The 17,218-nt window shown below is 51.2% G+C and overlaps 1 protein-coding gene across 2 annotated transcripts in view; it reads left to right on the top strand.

Moving 5' to 3' along the window:
- Positions 10,320–17,218, top strand: part of CRTAC1 (cartilage acidic protein 1) — a 165,622-nt gene continuing 158,723 nt past the window's right edge. For both annotated transcript variants that reach the window (NM_018058.7, NM_001206528.3), the window contains exon 1: positions 10,320–10,492. In NM_018058.7, the coding sequence (NP_060528.3) occupies positions 10,469–10,492 (24 nt within the window). In that variant the 5' untranslated portion in view covers positions 10,320–10,468. The remainder of the gene's footprint in view (positions 10,493–17,218) is intronic.

Below are 17,218 nucleotides of genomic sequence, written 5' to 3'. Positions count from 1 at the left end.
GGGAGTGAAGGTGCACAGTAACCAAGGAAGTGTCTCCTGCCCCCACAGTGCCTTGGCAAGGAAGCTCACAGGATGTGGGAAGAAGGGGCATCACTTGGTAGCCACGTCTCCAGCCCATTTCTATTCCTTCTGTCTCTCTCACTCTCTCCCTCTCTCTTTCCACCCCCTCTCTTTTTGAGACAGGGTCTCACTCTGTTGCCCAGGCTGGAGTGCAGCGGCATGATCATGGCTCACCACAGCCTGGACCTCCTGGGCTCAAGCAATCCTCCCACCTCAACCTCCCAAGTAGCTGGGACCACAGGCATGCACCATCACCCTGGATAACTGTGTGTGTGTGTGTGTGTGTGTGTGTGTGTGTGTGTGTAGAGATGGGGGTCTTCCTATGTTGCCCAGGCTAGTCTCAAACTCCTGGGCTCAAGCAATCCTCCTACCTCTTCCTCTCAAAGCAAGTAAGTGGCAAAGCTGGGACTATCACTCAAGCATACTCTAGACAGGTATTCTCCAGCCATTCCACATGCAGTGCCTCATCTGGGCCTCACAGCAATACCGTGCTGGGATTACAGTCACGAGCCACCTTGCCCGGCCCTATTCCTTACCTCTTTCAGCACAATGTGGGCGCCAATTTCCTGCTGTATGGTAAGCTCCTTGAAGGCAGAGGTTGTATTTATCTTTGTTTTCCCACCAGCCTAACACAGAGCCCACACCTAACAAGCCCTGGACAAATGCTTGTTGGTGAGCAATCCATTCTGGGCTACCCAGTGCACTGATCACATCTCAGATAACCTAGGGCTCTGCACTGAGCTGTGACTCCACCAGCTCAGCCACGGGATTGGATGCTCTGCCTGTGACCTGAGGATGTTAGTTACTCTGTGCCAATGCCCTTACCTATAAACGTGTGCAGACCGTGTCCTAATCACAGGCAGGAGAAAAGGCACAGGCACCAGCTGGCTTTCCTGGGTTTCCCATTTTCCTGTGACCTGCCCCTCCTGCCTGGAAATCTCTCAGGAGGATGGCACATGGTGGTGAGTGCTGTGTAATTGCTTAATGGCAGGAATGGGTGTAGGAGGAATTGCAGAGATATGGGAAGGGCAGCAGGCATGACAGAAAGGCACAGCTTGCCAAGAAAGACACCGCATACCTAGCTCTGCTTTGCCCCATGAGAACTTTGGGAGGTGGTGGGAGTCACCGCGTCTTTCTATTTCCTCTTCTCCACAATACGGGAAATACAAATACCCACTTCTTTGTCAAAAAGGGCACAGTGCCTGGCACACAGAAAGTGCTTAAATGCTTGTTGAATATATCAATAAGATGTTGTGTGAAACAATGCTTTGTAAATACTAAAGCAGCACTGTTAAAACTTTTTACTAAAGTACTCTAAGCGCAAAAGAAAAGGTTACACGTATCCCCACAAGGTTGGGGGAGGCTGAAAATCTCACCCAACAGGAAGCCTGGAAGATCTTTTCAAGGCTCACACTTTGTTTAAAATATGCTCACACAGTTTTGCATTCAGCTCCATGATATATGCAGATTTATTCAAATCATAATTAGATATTTTTATTTCTTTTCGTTTTTTTTTTTTTGTTTTTTTTTTGAGTCGGAATCTTACTCTGTCACCCAGGCTGGAGTGCAGTGGCACAATCTCGGCTCACTGTAACCTCCGCTTCCTGGGTTCAAGCAATTCTCCTGCCTCGGCCTCCCAAACAGCTGGGACTACAGGCATGCACCGCCGTGCCCGGCTACTTTTTTGTATTTTTAGTAGAGATGGGGTTTCACCATGTTGGCCAGGCTAGTCTTGAACTCCTGACCTCAGGTGATCCGCCCACCTTGACCTCCCAAAGTGCTGGGATTACAGGTGTGAGCAACCACGGCTGGCCAGATATTTTTATTTCTTACCAGTTAAATTACCTACCACTCTTCCTCTTTCTCCCCACCCCGGCAAAGGGGGTCGTCTAGTAAAAGAGGATCTTCCAGGAAGCAGGAAGATGTGGCACTTCTCTCTGGGGTATTTTGTGTTCCCAGAATACTTCCAGCATTCTTGTTTAACAAGCATTGTGAAAGACTTCTCTTCAGATTTAGTTATTTGTGTTTAATATTTTACACTTGATCTCAGCCAAAAGACCAAGAAGCGATGTCTGTTTAATATTTTGATGGCCAGCCTCCGTACCTTGCTTTACTCAGAGAAAAATAATTGGCTTTTGTCCATTTGGTCCAATCAATGCGAGGGTCCAGAATGCACCCCTTCCCACCCCTTCCTTCCACGCTGCGGCGCCCACAGCCCCGCCGGCAGCGGTTGCACACGTCCGAGAACAAACAGCCTGCCGGGCTCTCCACCAGGAACCGGGAACTCGACAGCCTGTTGCGACTCCTCGTGCTGTCTGCCCCTCTGACCTCTGGCCTCCCTGGGGCCTGCTCTCTCCTCCCAGCCCCGCCCCGCCTTGCCTTTGAGTTCCCACCTGCCTCCCGCGGTAGAGGTGTCAGGTCAGGTCTGCTGCATCCTGAGCCCTCCTCCTGCTGCCTGTGCCCTCACCTGCACACACAGCCTTCAGCCCCGCATCCTGCTGGAAAGCAAATAGCGCTCCAGCTCTTAGAGACCTCCAGGGGAGCAGTTTCTACAACCTCTGCAGGAATCTCGTTCTAACATCTCTCAACTCTCACACAGAAAAAGGCCTTCTTTTCATGAAATCTCAATTCCTTTCTGTTGCAATGAGCATGGAGTTGCTTTTATTCTCTGCTAGTTTGAGCTATACTTAAACAAGCCTAATTCCTCATGATATTCTCCCTGCCTCACCAAAGGATGGAATATTGGCTTCACTTCTGCTCAGCCCTCATCTATGGTGCGTACAGGCCTGAGTCTAGGCTGGGATCCTGCCTCTGGGGTGTGAACAGAGCAACACTGAAGCAGCGAGGACCCTTTACCATGGAGGCAGGGCTGAGCCAAGGGTAGCCCTGAGCTCTTTTGGGTGCCTGGAAGTAAATAACTGACACTGACTAAGGGCCTCTTGTGGGCCAGACCTTGAAGAGGTTTATGGGAAATATAAAACCAGGTCTCTACCTTCAATAATAGCATCATAAAAGAATCACTTACTGACTCAACTCTGTGGACAGTGGAGAATGCACTGATTTTGGCCCAAGAGACTTACATTTGCATCCCAGCTGTGTCTTTGTTTGTTTGTTTGTTTGTTTGTAGATGGAGTCTCTCTCTGTTGACCCAGCTGGAGTGCAACGATGCGATCTCAGCTCACTGCAATCTCCACCTCCTGGGTTCAAGCAATTCTCCTGCCTCAGCCTCCCAAGTAGCTGGGATTACGGCACCCGCCACCATGCCCAGCTAATTTTTGTATTTGTAGTAGAGACGGGGTTTTGCCATGTTGGCTAGGCTGGTCTCAAACTCCTGACCTCAGGTAATCCACTGGCCTTGGCCTCCAAAAGTGCTGGAATTACAGGCGTGAGCCACCGCGCCCGGCTCCAGCTCTGCCTTTTATTAGCTGTGCTATTTTGGGCAAGACACTACACCTCTCTGAGCCTTCATTTATGTGTCTATCTCACAGGTGTTAATGAGGATTTTTTTTTATTCTATAAAGTGCTACACAATTAAAGGATTATCATAGATTGGGTGGGAAGAATATGAAGGCGGGGCTCTACATGTCTGCAATAGGAGAAATGCACATGTGATGTGCTAAAGGGCTTGGAGGAAGAGAAAAGGATGAAAATGAGTGGCATTTCACAGGAATGACAGGCAGAAGGAGGTGACAGTTGGGCACAGAGACAGGGGAAAAAGAAGGGAAGAAGGATGATAGCTATCATTTATGGAATGCTCACTATGTGCCAGGCGTTCGGCTAAGGGCTTTGCGTACATTATCTCACGTATTCCTTATGAAATCCCCGTCATGAGGTTTTATTATCCTCATTTTACCCTTGCATATGGTAGGTCATAACATACCTCCATACCCTCAAGCTGAACCCATGAGATATACATCCTATCTATAATGGAATTTGGTGCCAAGATGAGGATACAGCTTTATAAAAAATCAGAGAAGAACCAAGCAAGAGATGCAGAGATAGGTGGTCAGGGCAGAGGGTTTTCCACAAACCCTGGTTAATGACATCAGAAGAGTAATCAGAAATGATTGCCCTTACAAACTTCAAACATGGATTCCTTTTTCCAGATGCCATCGGTTTTTGTCCACCTTGTTAGCCCTCCACTTCTATCTACTTCCTGGATGGCCCATTTCCTTACTCTTCTCTTTCTCTTATGTCCCCTTTCTCTCTTCTTTACCCTTCTCTTTCTCTTATGTCCCCTTTCTCTCTCTCTCTTTCTCCCCGCCCCCCTCCTCCACCCCTCCTCACACATGCACACACACACAGGCTCAATTACCTTTTCCATCTTCTTTTGTGTCAATGTCTGACTCTATGGATGACAAGCTCTCCATGCTCGGTTTAGACACTGAAAACAGGCTATAGCTACAGACACTCTTCCCACCCGACTTTGCTCCCTCTCCCGACATCCTCCCTTCCCTTTCTCTCTTCTCTTGATTCTTCCCCTCCTTTTATTTACTCCTTCCTGTTCCCCTTCCTCTTCTGTTCACTTTTCACCCATTTATCTCTCTTCCCTTAGGATGGAAACTGACGAGGGCATCCCTAGCTCAGGAGCTCCCTGGCATTTGCTGCTAGTAAATGTATGCTACCACCACCCAACTGCTGACAGGGTTTTTCTTTTCTTTTCTTTTTTAAACCATGACCATGAGCTCATGTCTGTCAGAAACCTGGCTGGGTTGGCAGCTGGATATGCCAGACCAGGAAGGGCTGGAACCCAAAACAGGACCTGTCCACCAAGGCAGGGCCAGGGTCTGGGGAGGTCCTGGGAGCTGGAGGCAGAAGTGAGGCCAGGTTGGGGGCATGTTAAAGGAAGCTGGCATGAGGCAGTTGGCAGAGGTTCAAGAGGGCAGTTGATGCCTGGAATGTGGGGCAGCAGGTGTTAAAGACTCAGTCACAGGGAAGAAAGGAAAGCATCCAGAGCCCAGAATCCTAGGCCCTGAGGTCCTGGGTCATGGGGTAGGGCAGCAGGAGGTGAGAATGGATGGAGACCCAGTGACTGGAGCTGGGGGTACCAGCAGGAGCTCTCTCAGAAGAAAAAGGTAACAGTGGGGTCCTAGGACCTGAGAAGAAAGGTAGAGCAGGACCAAGGTCAGCAACAATGATAAAGATCCAAGATGAAGCTTCCCTGCTGTTGACTTGGACTCCAGGGAGCCTGTTTATCATGAAGACTGCTGGCTGAGCATCTCAAGCAGGAGTAGAGAGCTGTGTGGTCAGCGGCCCACCATGGCTTTCCTTTTCCCATCTCCCTCCCTGCATCACATTCTTAACCAGCCCCTCAGATTGCAGAGCCACCCCCACGACAGTGTGGGAAAACCCCGTAGCTCACTGGACACATAGGCAGGTAAGTTCCTGGAACCCAAGCCATTTTGGCACAGGTTAACATGATAAGCAGACACCTGCTTGCATCGTTACCTCCAGGCTTCCCCCTGCCCCACAGCCTCGAAAGTTTCTAACCAGACTTCCCCAGGATTCCATCATGTCCTCCTTCTTCCAGCATCCCTTTCCTGGGGCTGCTCTGCCTGCAGAGTTTCCCTGCAGCATGCGCTCACAGCTCAAGGTCTTCTGAACAAACTCTCTGGCCATCTGGAAGACTCCTTTCTGCATCTGTGATGGCTCTGGCTCTGGCCCTGACTGAACCATCCCCCAGGGTTTGTGGCTTCTCTAAAAGAGTTCCTGTCCAACTTTACCCCTAACCTACCTCCCCTTGAAAGTCCATCCTATGCATCTGCCTCTTACAAGCCACAAGTGCATCTGAAACCCAACGGCCATGTGATAAATGTGTACTCCTTGGGAAAAAGGGACGACCCCTCCATACGACTTGGTTTGAGAAGGGGTTATTTCCTCATACCCCCTTTAGCTCCTCATTTCTTTCACAGTTTGTGGTTTCCCATTTTCAACTATTGCTGTTTTTCCACCCCCTTACAAAAAGATTCATTTCTTTTGAGACAACCAAGCCTAAAATACACAATCCCTTATCTACAATTCCAAATCCCCAAATCTCTGAAAGTCAAAAGGATTTTTGTTTTGCAAGTTTGATGCCAAGACTCATCTGGTAGCAAAATCTGACCTAAACTGATGTGAAGTTACTTTATCCTCACACCTGCTTAGTGTAAACTTCATATATTTCATTGCAGAAATATTAATGTGTCTGATTTCAATATGCTGCTCAAAGCTTCACTGAGAATGTTTATGTATGGTGCCTTTCTGAATTCTAAAATGCCTCTGGCCTCAAGGGCTTCAGATAAGGGTGTGAGGAACTGTACCAGCCTCTCTGTTCTCCTGTGACAGAACTCTTGGGACAGAAGCATCTCTAAGATCTGGTGTCTTGACTTCTCACCCGGAGAGAGAGAAGATAGCCAAGTAATCTTCTAATGTAGAGAGAGAATTAACAAAGTCATTTGTCAATGAAAGGACATGGGGTCTGGAGGTTGTCTTCAGTGTTTCCTACAGTTTTTGTCCTGTCCTTAACTTGTTGCATGACTGTTAGCAACTTGCGTAAAGTCCAACCTCTCTGATCCTGGACTTTAGAAGAAAACTAGCTCCTGAGAACTCCTGCTCCAGTGATGTTGATGATGACTAACACACACAATACATCTTGAGTTTTTAGAAAATGAAGTACTGTACAGCTTTAATAGTATTTTTAAGTAAATAGGTTTAATTGGAATAACTCAGCAAATATCTAATGTGTGTTCACTCTGTGCCCAGTTTCATGCTGGGTTCTGTGAGGTAGTCAACTGCAAGGTACAAACTCTGGACTTCAAGGGGCTCATATTCTGATAGGGAGGCCAAGTATCACTGAGTGAAAAAAAGCTAATGTGCATCACAGGTGATAAGATGGTGTAGACCTGCAGGAGAGCTGAAAACTGCTGGCCAGGGCAGTTTTGGAAGGTGGCGCAGGAAGGAAGACTTGGTTTGGGTATGAACAGATGAGAAAACAATTTAAGCACGTTCCCCAGGTAAGAATGAAGAAGTCTGTGGGGGAACACTCTGAAGAAAAAACAACTTCACTGGGGTCAAAGGACTGGAGCCTGAACAAGATGCATGGGGTAAGGGTGTGCTGAAAATGTGTGTATTAGTCAGCTCAGACTGCCATAGCCAATACCACAGACGTGGAGCTTAACCACAGAAGTTAATGTTCTCACAGTTCTGGAGCCTGGAAGTCCCAGATCAAGGTGCTGGCAGGTCTGGTTTCTGCAGAGGCCCTGCTCCTGGCTTGCAGATGGCCTCCTCCTGTTACTCAGGCAGGCTTTCTCCTGAGGATGCACAGAGAGAAATGGGAGATCTCTGGTATCTCTCTCTCTTCTTACGAGGACACTAGTCCTATTGAATTAGGGTCCACCCTTATGATCTCATTTTGCCTTAATTGCCCCTTTAAAGGCCTTATCTCCAAATGCAGTCACACTAAGGGTTAGGGCTTCACTATGTGAATTTGGTCCGGAGAGGCACAATTCAGTCTATAACCGTGTGCATGTGCCTCAAGAAAGCTGTGTTTGGGCAATGTGGGAGGACAAGAGGTCTCTCACGGGATTGGGGGTGGGGAAGGGCTGGAGCTCTGAGCAGACACTGACATGAACTGAGCAAATGGACATCGAGGACATCAGAGAAATGAGAAATTTTCCAACCAGGACTGCCTGGCCCACTGGGCTAAACCCTCACAAGTTCAAGTGCTGAAGCCAGATTGTATTCCCTGGAGCACTTCCTGGCTGGAACATCTCCATCATTTCCTGCATTTTTCTGTCCTTCCCTAGCACCTTTGGTCTGTTGTAACCTTACCTGGCTAGCTGCAGGAAAGTGTGAGATTATTACAGAGTTATTTTGCACAGAGCACCTATTCACATCTGGTTGGCTAATGCTGATAATTACCGTGCTGGTTACTAAATCTGTCGGGTCTGGGTGAGGTGAGGCGCTACAGCTGGGGCTGCTGTGCACAGCTTCACCGGAGAAGAGAGAGGTGAGAACAAAAACCAAGAAAGGTGTGCTCAGATGTTTGGGATTGAGTGAAACTGGTTAATTACCAGTCACTTGCTGTCTCCCTGAGTTGGAGTTTCTGGCTAAGGAATGCTCATAGATCAGACATAATATGACAACCTGCAACTTATTTCCACATTAAGAGGGTGGCGGGGACCAAGATGCAGAGAAAGTGTGGAGACAGTCTCTCAGGTGCCAGAGCCTTGGCCAGATGACTCAGATGCCCTCAGAACAAGGTGGTGGCATGTTCCAGCAGGGTGCAGAGCCAACTGGACTCCTTATGCAGAGAGCTGGGGATCAGATATGGCCTTGGGGGCAGAGTCTATTTGCCGATAGATGAAGGTTCTTAATCAGGGCCCTAGATTAAGTTTTAATGATCCACGAACCCTCCTAAAGTTGCATGTCAACATGTGTGTATGTGAGTGAGCATTTTTATAAGCAACAGATCCATAACATTTATGAGATTCTTGAAAGGTTCTAAAGGGTCTGTGATCCCCAAAAGGAGGGTGATTATAAACTACTGTCCTAGACCCCTGAAGAAACAGGTTGACATTGGACCGAGCCCCAAGAGACTCAGGGTTCCTAATGATCCTGAAAGTATACTCAAGGTGTGTGTGTGTGTGTGTGTGTGTGTGTGTGTGTGTGTGTGTGTAAATGTGTGTGTTTGTATATTTTTCTAGAAAAATGATTCAGTAATTTTTGCCAGATTTTCAAAGGGGCCCACAACCTTACAGGCTTGATGGGGGCTCAAAAAGCCAGAAAGTTTGTCTGTGCCTAGCTATTTCTTTTCAGAGGAAGATCACAGAGACCTGAAAACAGAGCCCAGACTAGGTCCTGGTAGTTCTGCTCAAAATCTGTGGATAACAGGGGCCAGAGGCTGGATGTGTGGCCCTCTATAAAAGAACACATTCAAATCATTCTAAGAGTCAAGGGCCCAGAAGCCAGACTAGTGGGTGATGGTCACAAAAGCGTCAACGGATGGGAAAACAGTCCTAGCTCCTTCCCTCTCCGATGGTGGATTCCCAAGTCTTTCTCTTCTGTGGCCCCTTTACCTGGCTTTCAGAAACCCAAAGACCTCACTCATGGAAGCTCAGAATTCATTCAATAAACACTGAGCGCCTACTATGTGCCAGGCTCTATTCTAGGCGTAAAATAAAGGATTTGCCTTCAGAGTGTGACCCACCAAGGCCAGTTTCCTGCCTGAACAGGGGTATTTTGAGCATTGCTGATCAAGTGTGTTTTTCTGGCGCTTAGCACCCCCATTCCCCTGGTCCAGAGAGGCAGAAACCATCCCCCCACCACCACCAAGGCAGCGGGTTGGGGGCGAGGAGAGGCGGGCAGTACCTGTGATCAAAGCGGTGAGGGAGGCTAGTAGGACGCAGGCGGCAGGAGCGGGTGGGCCAGGCCCGACTCGGCCACTGCTGGGGTAGGGACTAGGTGGGATGGGGTGGGGGCACTGCTGGTGGGGACGGGGTGGGGTAGAAGCGGCGCTGCCCGCAGCCGCCTGGGCCTCTGCGCGCCTGATCTCCGAGCTGCGCTCGCCCGCTCCCCGCCTGCGGGGGCCGTCGCGGAGCCCTGCTCTCCATACTGAGCAGTCCCCGGGAGGTGCTCGGACACGTCCCCAGGCTGGATAAAGATCGGCTCGGCTCTAGCTCCGTAGTCGAAATCTCGCCATCAGCGCGGCTCGCTCGGCCGCTTTGGCCCGGCCCGGCGACGCCAGATCGCTATCCTGGGGGGAAATGGGAAGGCAGTGCAGCCGCTCCCGCCTCCACCCTCGGTCCTGCGCGCAGGGGTGGCCGCGGGGTCCTGGGGCTCGCCGCCCTCCCCTCCCCCTTCGCGTTCCTTCCCTGCGCTGCCTCCCGAGGGACCCTCGCTTCCCTCCGGCCTGGGGCCCCCAGCGCCCAGCCAGGCGCCCTCTCCCCTCCTCGCCAGGCCTCGCTGCCGCCTGAAGGTTACGCGACGCAGTGGCGGGGCGCGGGGGGCGCCCGCCCTCGCCGCCGCCTTCGCCGCCGCCCACCCCAGTGGCCGCCGCGCCGCGCCGGGCCAGCCTGGCTGCCGGCTGCTGCCACCGCAATCCCGGCTCCTAAATCAGCGCGGGGAGGCGCTCCCTCCCCACGCCCGGCTCTCCGGGCTCTCGGGGCCGCGATTGGCCGCGCCGGCGCCCCCCACCCCGGGCCCCCGGCTCCAGCTGCCGCGCCATTGGCTGCGGGCCTCCGCCAGCCTTTACATAAGACCGGGCGCGCTCGAGTGGAGTTGTATAAAGCGAGCGCGCGGCGTCGGGGCGGGAGGCTCGAGGCCAGCCCGGGACCGGGGCTGGGAGCAAGCAGGCGGCGGCGCCGGCGGCAGAGGCGGCAGCGAGCGCCCGCTTCCCACGCCCCTAGGCGGCGGGGCCGAGAGCGGGAGGATGGCTCCGAGCGCTGACCCCGGCGTGAGTATCTGCACCGGTGCCCCCCACCCTAAGGCGGAGAAAGTTTCTCCAGCTCTGCGCGCCCCCCCGGATCCGCCCGCAAGGGTGGCGGGGACGCCGCCCGGGAACCCGGGAAGACTGGGATCGCGAAGGCGGCGGCTTCGCTCCTAACTTGCTGGGAGGCGCTGGACTCGATTGGCGCGCGGAGCCTCCCCCGCGGGCTGGGGGTGAGGCGGCGGCCGGGTTGGAGGTGGCGGAGAGGTGGGAGCTGATGTGTGGGGGCGACAGCCAGCAGCTGGCAGAGAAAGTGTTGGGGGCGCACTGGAGGTCAGCTGTCAGGGGAGGGGGCCTCTGGGGCCTGGAGGGGGCGGAGCGGGTGAGGAGGGATGTGCCGGGCTATCGGGAGAGTCTCCCAGTCAGCCAGGCTGAGACCCGGGCCTGGGAAGCCACTGGCCTCGGCCGAGTGCCTACGCTTCCAGGCTGGGGAAGAGCCCCGCGGGCTGGCTCTTCCTCCCCTGGGAAGCCGAGTTCCCGGGCACAGCGCTGGGTGGCAGAGAGCTCCGGGAGCCAGCCCCGCGCGCGGCGTAGCTGCTAGCCGCCTTATGCTGGACGAGGTGTGGTCTTCCCTTCAGGCTGCCTGAGGCAAGCCGGCTTCAGGCATTCCAGGGGAACCCTGAGTCCTCCTCGACCCCGTGGGGGCACTTGGAGGCTTTGATGGGGCAGCCAGGCCGGGCTTGGGGGCATGCCCAGCAATGCAGCGCGCTTCTTTGCAGTACAGTAGTTGGGAGCCCTGGTTAGTCCCGCTTCTGCAGAAAGCAACTCAAGAATCCAAAGTCATCCCAGCCTGGATGGAAGCCTCCCAGAGTGGCGGGGAAATTCTCCTAGGGTTGAGAGCTGGGGGGGCTTCCTCCAGGAATGACTAATGAATATTGCTGCTGCTGCCGCCGCCGCCGCCGCCGCCGCCGCCGCCGCCGCCGCTGCTGCTGCTGGTGGGTGCACCCAGTGTGGCTTCTGCACATCCCAGGAGATGCTTCCGTTCTCCTGACAGGACACATTCTTGAGTTGCACTTGAGGTGTCTTCTGGGATGGGTGCAGGACTTTCCACGTGAAGCCAAGTGGAAAAGAAGGGAAGAGGGTCCCAGGACAGGGGACAGTTCTATAGTGTTTTCTTGAGTCAGGGGAGAACTCATGTGGGAAGAGATAAGCGATTGACGGAGATTTGGAACCCAGACGACTTGGGGCTGGAGATGTCCAAGACTGAATTAGAGCTCATTGAGAGTCACAGAGTACCTCACCCTCAGCCATGGGGGAGAGGTGGAGGCTGGAAAAGTGGGAACATGGTGGCTGTTCCAGCATGGTTCTTGAGAAAATGTTCTCTCTCTCTCTCTGACTTGGTTAAGAACATCCTTCTGGCAGTAGGTCCTAAAGTCAATTTAAGAGGTAATGAAGGGAGTTGAGGGTCTTGATGATGGCACAGAGGACCACAATTAGAACATTTCCATTTCCGGTGGGTACTAATGGACTCTGGAAAAGGTCGAAACGGTGTGTAGGGAGTCTGGGGAACCTGCTCTGTGGCTGCTCATTTGAGCCTGAATCCTCCACCTTATCCCATCCCTGAATGTAGGTGGATGTTCAAACTCCTAGGGTACCTGCTTCAGCCTGGAGATATTTTATGGGTGCTATCAATCTATATCCCAACCCCCAGCTCCATCGTTGTCTGCTGCAGTCAACATTTTTCTGCTGCATTTCCCAAGACCTTCTCTCCACTGGGGATTTGTGCAGCGAAATACCTGCTTGTTGCTCTTTCTTCCCTTCTCCATCTGGGCTGCACCTGGTGTTCTGAACCCTGGTGTTTATTCCTTGGTACCTTGATGTTTGGTTAAGACGTCCTATGGCTGCGCAGGGGTGCCCCTGTAAATCTGTGGACCAATGGCCTGTGTAATTCTAGGGAGTGCAATAGACTTCTATAGAAAGAATACCACCAACCGGGAAGGCAGTCCTACTAAACAGCTTGTGACAGCCTCTCATGCTCAAGCGCTCCCTTGCTTCCGTGCTGAGGCGGTGGAAGCCTAAAGGTGGAGCAGACTCCTTGGTGTCCAGTAGGGGGCGCCAAAGGTACCTGGCTCAGGACCACTGACTTTCTCACTTCTTGCCCTTTACTGGCTGTAGCAACTTAATGCTTTAAGGCAGCTCAGGCTACAGCCTTCAACCACCACCATCGTACTTGGAATCCTTCTACCACATGCTTCCTGGGCTTCAGGTGGTCCTGTGACCTCGGGTGCTATGGGGCAGGTGCAAGCACAACATTCCAAGGAGACAGAGCTGGTACACAGCCCCACCCTCTCTCGGGGATCATTCCTTTGTGCTTGGTGCCGCTGTGTTCTTTGAACTCTTTAAGGGTTCATGGAGTTCCAGAACATTAGAGCCAGAAGCAAGGAGCCTTGGAGAGCATCTCATCCAACCCCATTCCATCCCAACACTCACATGCACATTTAATTTACAGATGAGAAAACTGAAGCTGGATAAAGCCAAGGTCACATGGCTATTTGGTGGAAGACATGGAACTAGGCCCTAGGATTCCCACTGCTCGATTCAGAGCTGTTTCCACTCCAGCGGCCTGCTTCCTCTTCACTATAAAGATGGACATACTTTCTCTATACAGTAGGCACTCATAGTTATTGACTGACCAGGCTTTGGTAAATTAATACATCCCATACAGTTGGGGAGATTCTATTTTGAATCTGTTTTTCAGAGTGAGGAGGTGAGGAGAAAATACAGTTCTTGTCATGGACATACACAGGTCATAGAAATTCCTAATTATTCTTTCCCTGCCTCTACAATCTCGTCTCATTATTCCAAGTGGTGTTTTAAGCAAAAGCCATGCAAGTCCAGGTTTCAGTCTGTGCATTTAGGAGTCAGAAGTGCCGAGTCCCTCACTGTGGTCTTGGAACCCAGGTCTGGAGCGCCAAGGAATGTTGGCGTGGGGTCTCTCTGCTTGCAGTCACACCACTGCTGGTGAGACCTCCCAGATTCAGATTATAGATGGATTGGAGAGTTTCCAAAGAGTATTTGCCTATTTCCCCCACCCTTGCTGCTCCCAGCTCAAGGTCAGAGTGCTAGGACATTCTATTTTTGCCAAATCCTTATGTTTGGACTTCTTCGGTGACCTGCAAGATACTACCATTTCCATTGCCCTTTCTTCTGTTCCGAGAGCCTGGCTGTCGACATCTGAGCTGGGCTCTGGGAAACAGGTTTGCTGAGTGGCCTGTGGGCGGCCCCCTTTGTTCTCTTTTTTTTTTTTTTGAGACGGAGTCTCGCTCTGTCGCCCAGGCTGGAGTGCAGTGGCGCAATCTCGGCTCACTGCAAGCTCCGCCTCCCGGGTTCACGCCATTCTCCTGCCTCAGCCTCCCGAGTAGCTGGGACTACAGGGGCCCGCCACTACGCCCGGCTAACTTTTTGTATTTTTAGTAGAGACGGGGTTTCACTGTGGTCTCAATCTCCTGACCTCGTGATCTGCCCGCCTCGGCCTCCCAAAGTGCTGGGATTACAGGCGTGAGCCACCGCGCCCGGCCCCCTTTTGTTATTATCTCCCCACCTGGCTTCTTTGCACACTGGATGGACTTCCTCCTGGTTCTCCTTGGAGCCTCAGCAGACTCGGAAGCCTACCCTCGTAAGAAACCCACTGCTGCCAAGCCAGAATTCTGAGAGGCGGAATCCTCTTCTCTCCCTAAGACTCACGAAAGGGATGCTTGTTGCCAGGGAAGATGCTTGAGTCCCCTCCTCTCCCTCATGCTCACAGAAGATGAAGTTGGAGCTTCATCTTCAGCGGGAGGAGGGAGGTGCAGGATCACGTGGACCACCGGAGAGGAAAAGCCCCTCTCTTTAAACTGGAGTCTTAAGAGGCTATGCTTGAGATCTCACCAGCTCCTAGCTTTACCTGGTGAAATGAGCCTGCATTCTCAAGACTTGTTCTGGTTCTGGATAAGACCAGAGGAATATACTTACATACATTGTGGTTATAGTACAAGCTCTCTGGACTTTTGTTTGAATGCGGGAGTGGGTAGAGAGCTTGAGAAGTGGCATTAGACTATGAGAAACAGGAAATTGTCCAGTGGGGCTTTTATGAGCCCCACCAGATGGCTGACCCTTCCCCCTCTCATTGTAATGGTAAGGACACAGGCTTAGAATCTGGTCTCCGCTTGCTGGCTTAGAGACCTTAAACAAACCACTTAACCTCTGCAAGCCTCAGTTTCCTTCTCTGCTAAATGATGAGGCTGACAACCATGTGATGAGGGTAGGGGAGCGAAGCTGGAGGGAGACAGTCTTTAGTATTCCTCTGCCCTTGGTTAGAGGTAAAGAGGTATTCAGTTGGAAGGGGATATTATTGCTGAATCACTGGGAACCCCCGAGTCTTCTTTTTCCCAGTGAGTGAGCCTGAGTGCCCAGGTTTGCACATCAGCCTCTGCTCACAGCAATATCTGGGCTGATGGGCAAGGCCTTCTTGGCAGGGCTCCCTCCTTGCCTCTTTCCCTGCCCCACCTCAGGGTTTTCACTTTGGGGTTCTGCCATGCTTGGGGAAAAGAAATTTTATGGGTCCCAGGATAATTCTGAATGTGATGGAGGGCCCTGAGCTATTGATTCCTAAGGAAGGATCTTTCTGCTGGGAGAAGCCTTCCTTGGAGCCTAGTGATTTAAGAGTGCTGACAAATTCGTGCTCACCGAGCCTCCTGCAGGCTGCAGATACAGGCTTCCAGGCCAGCCTGGGCTCTGCTAGGGATTTCTGGAGAGCCTGGCTGGTTGCTTAGGGGACATAAACCTGTGAACTTTCCTTAGGAGAAAGTATGAAATCAATTGGTTCATTATCACACCAAACACACCCCAGACCATTTAGGGCATTTAAGAAATAAGAAGCAGCAAAGGACTGAGAGGTTGTCTTTGAAAAGTGTGCAGAAAGGTGTGAAAGGGTTGGGGGAAAGGAAGGGAGAGGAAGACCGTTTTTCCCCTGAACCACTCATGATTTTTACCTTATCGAAATCCTTGAATGGTGACTAGAGGGGTTATTTTGTTCCCCCTCCCAGATATTTGGCAATGTCTGTAGACACTTTTTCTTGTTACAACTGGGGAATGGGGTGCTACTAGTATCCACTAGGTAGAGGCCAGGGATGCTGCTGAACATCCTACAGTGCACAGAACACGTCTCACAGCAAGGAATTATCTGGCCCAAAATGTCATTAACACCAAGATTGAGAAACCCGGGACTGGAGCATTGCAGCACAGAATCACAGCACATTAGAGGTGGGAGTGATTTTAGAAGTACTCTCATCCAATTCTCCCATTTCACAGCCGAGGGCACTGAGATCCAGAGAGGAGAGGGAAGCAGCCAGGATCACACTGCAAGCAAGTGACAGAGCTGGTCTGCAATTCAGATCTGCTCTCTCCTGAGACCGTTTTACCCAGATTCCCCCAGAGTTGTTGTGAAAATTAAATGTGAGCTGTGAAAACAAAAATAAATAGAAAATTATAGAGACTATATTAATATTTCTATTATTAAGAATTGGGAGTTTGTATAGTTGTATTTCTGGCTATGCCACTGACTCATTGTGCAATATTGGACAAATCATTCTCCCACCCCCATGCCTCTCTATGAGTGTGTGTGTGTGTGTGTGTGTGTGTGGTGGAGAGGTGGTCTTAGAGCAAAAAAAAAAAAAAAAAAAAAAAAAAAAGGATAATATAATCATTCTCTTTAGAGAAAGGTCCAAAGATTTGCCCTTCAAAAACCCTAGACACTAAAAAAATTAAAATTTTCCTTGAAAGAAATCATGTTGACTTTGTAAGAAGCAAAGCGTTTACTTCTTGGAAAAATTCCAGTACCCTGGCCCTGTAAGTTGGTTCCAGCCCAGGAAATCTGATCAGCATCCAGAGGAGAAACTGATAGCTCCACAAATGACAAGAGGCTGGATATGTGCCCCCTCCCTCCAAGAAAGGGTGATGGCGACTTCTCCTCCATCCTTTCCTGCTCAACCCTCCTGGCCCAGAAGTTCCACAAGGAACTTCAACGAGGGATGGGAAGGTGTGTCATTAATCAGTGAAACCTTGTTTATTTAACAGACATATTCTTAAAGAGCTCTTCCAAGGGACATTTTGACGTATTACTTTAATTAGCTATGGAAGAATTGAGAGTGCAGAGAGTATAAAATGACCCTCTCTGTTGTTTCCAGTTACTCTTATCTTTGTTTGCACCGGACAAGTACAGTGACAAGGTCATGGGAATCACTGCTGAGCCCTGGGAGTGTCCCGGTGACCTGAGGAGGGACTGCAGGGACTGCTTTCTTTCCTTACATCAGCCTTCACCTACCTAGAGAGCAGCCACCTCGGTGGAGATTCCTGCTTTGGCATTCCAGCCCTCTATTGATGTAGACCTGTCTTAAAGGAAGCATCATGTTGTGCAAATTTTAACACAGCTCTTAGGAAGGGGAACAGGCCTGGGAGCTGGAAGTTCCCCTCCCAGAAGGGCAGAGGCGCTCTTATAGGATTGGTGGGAACAGCCTTGGTTGGTGTTTTTCACATGAGGTCTGACCCTGGTCTTGTCCTCCTTGTGCTCAGGATGGGAGGTAGGAAGTCACTTGAGGCTCCCCTGAGAGGACTGAGGTGACATCCCTCCCTTCCCACATGGGAGCGTCACTATGTAGATTCCTGCCATGAATCTTCTGTGTGTCCTGAAGCAGGTCCCTTAGCCTCTGGAGGTCA

This window comes from Homo sapiens, chromosome 10 (genome assembly GCF_000001405.40).
Source record: "Homo sapiens chromosome 10, GRCh38.p14 Primary Assembly".
Classification (NCBI taxonomy): Eukaryota; Metazoa; Chordata; class Mammalia; order Primates; family Hominidae; genus Homo; species Homo sapiens.
Note: the sequence above shows the minus strand (reverse complement) of the source record. Positions and strands in the feature narration are given on the sequence as shown.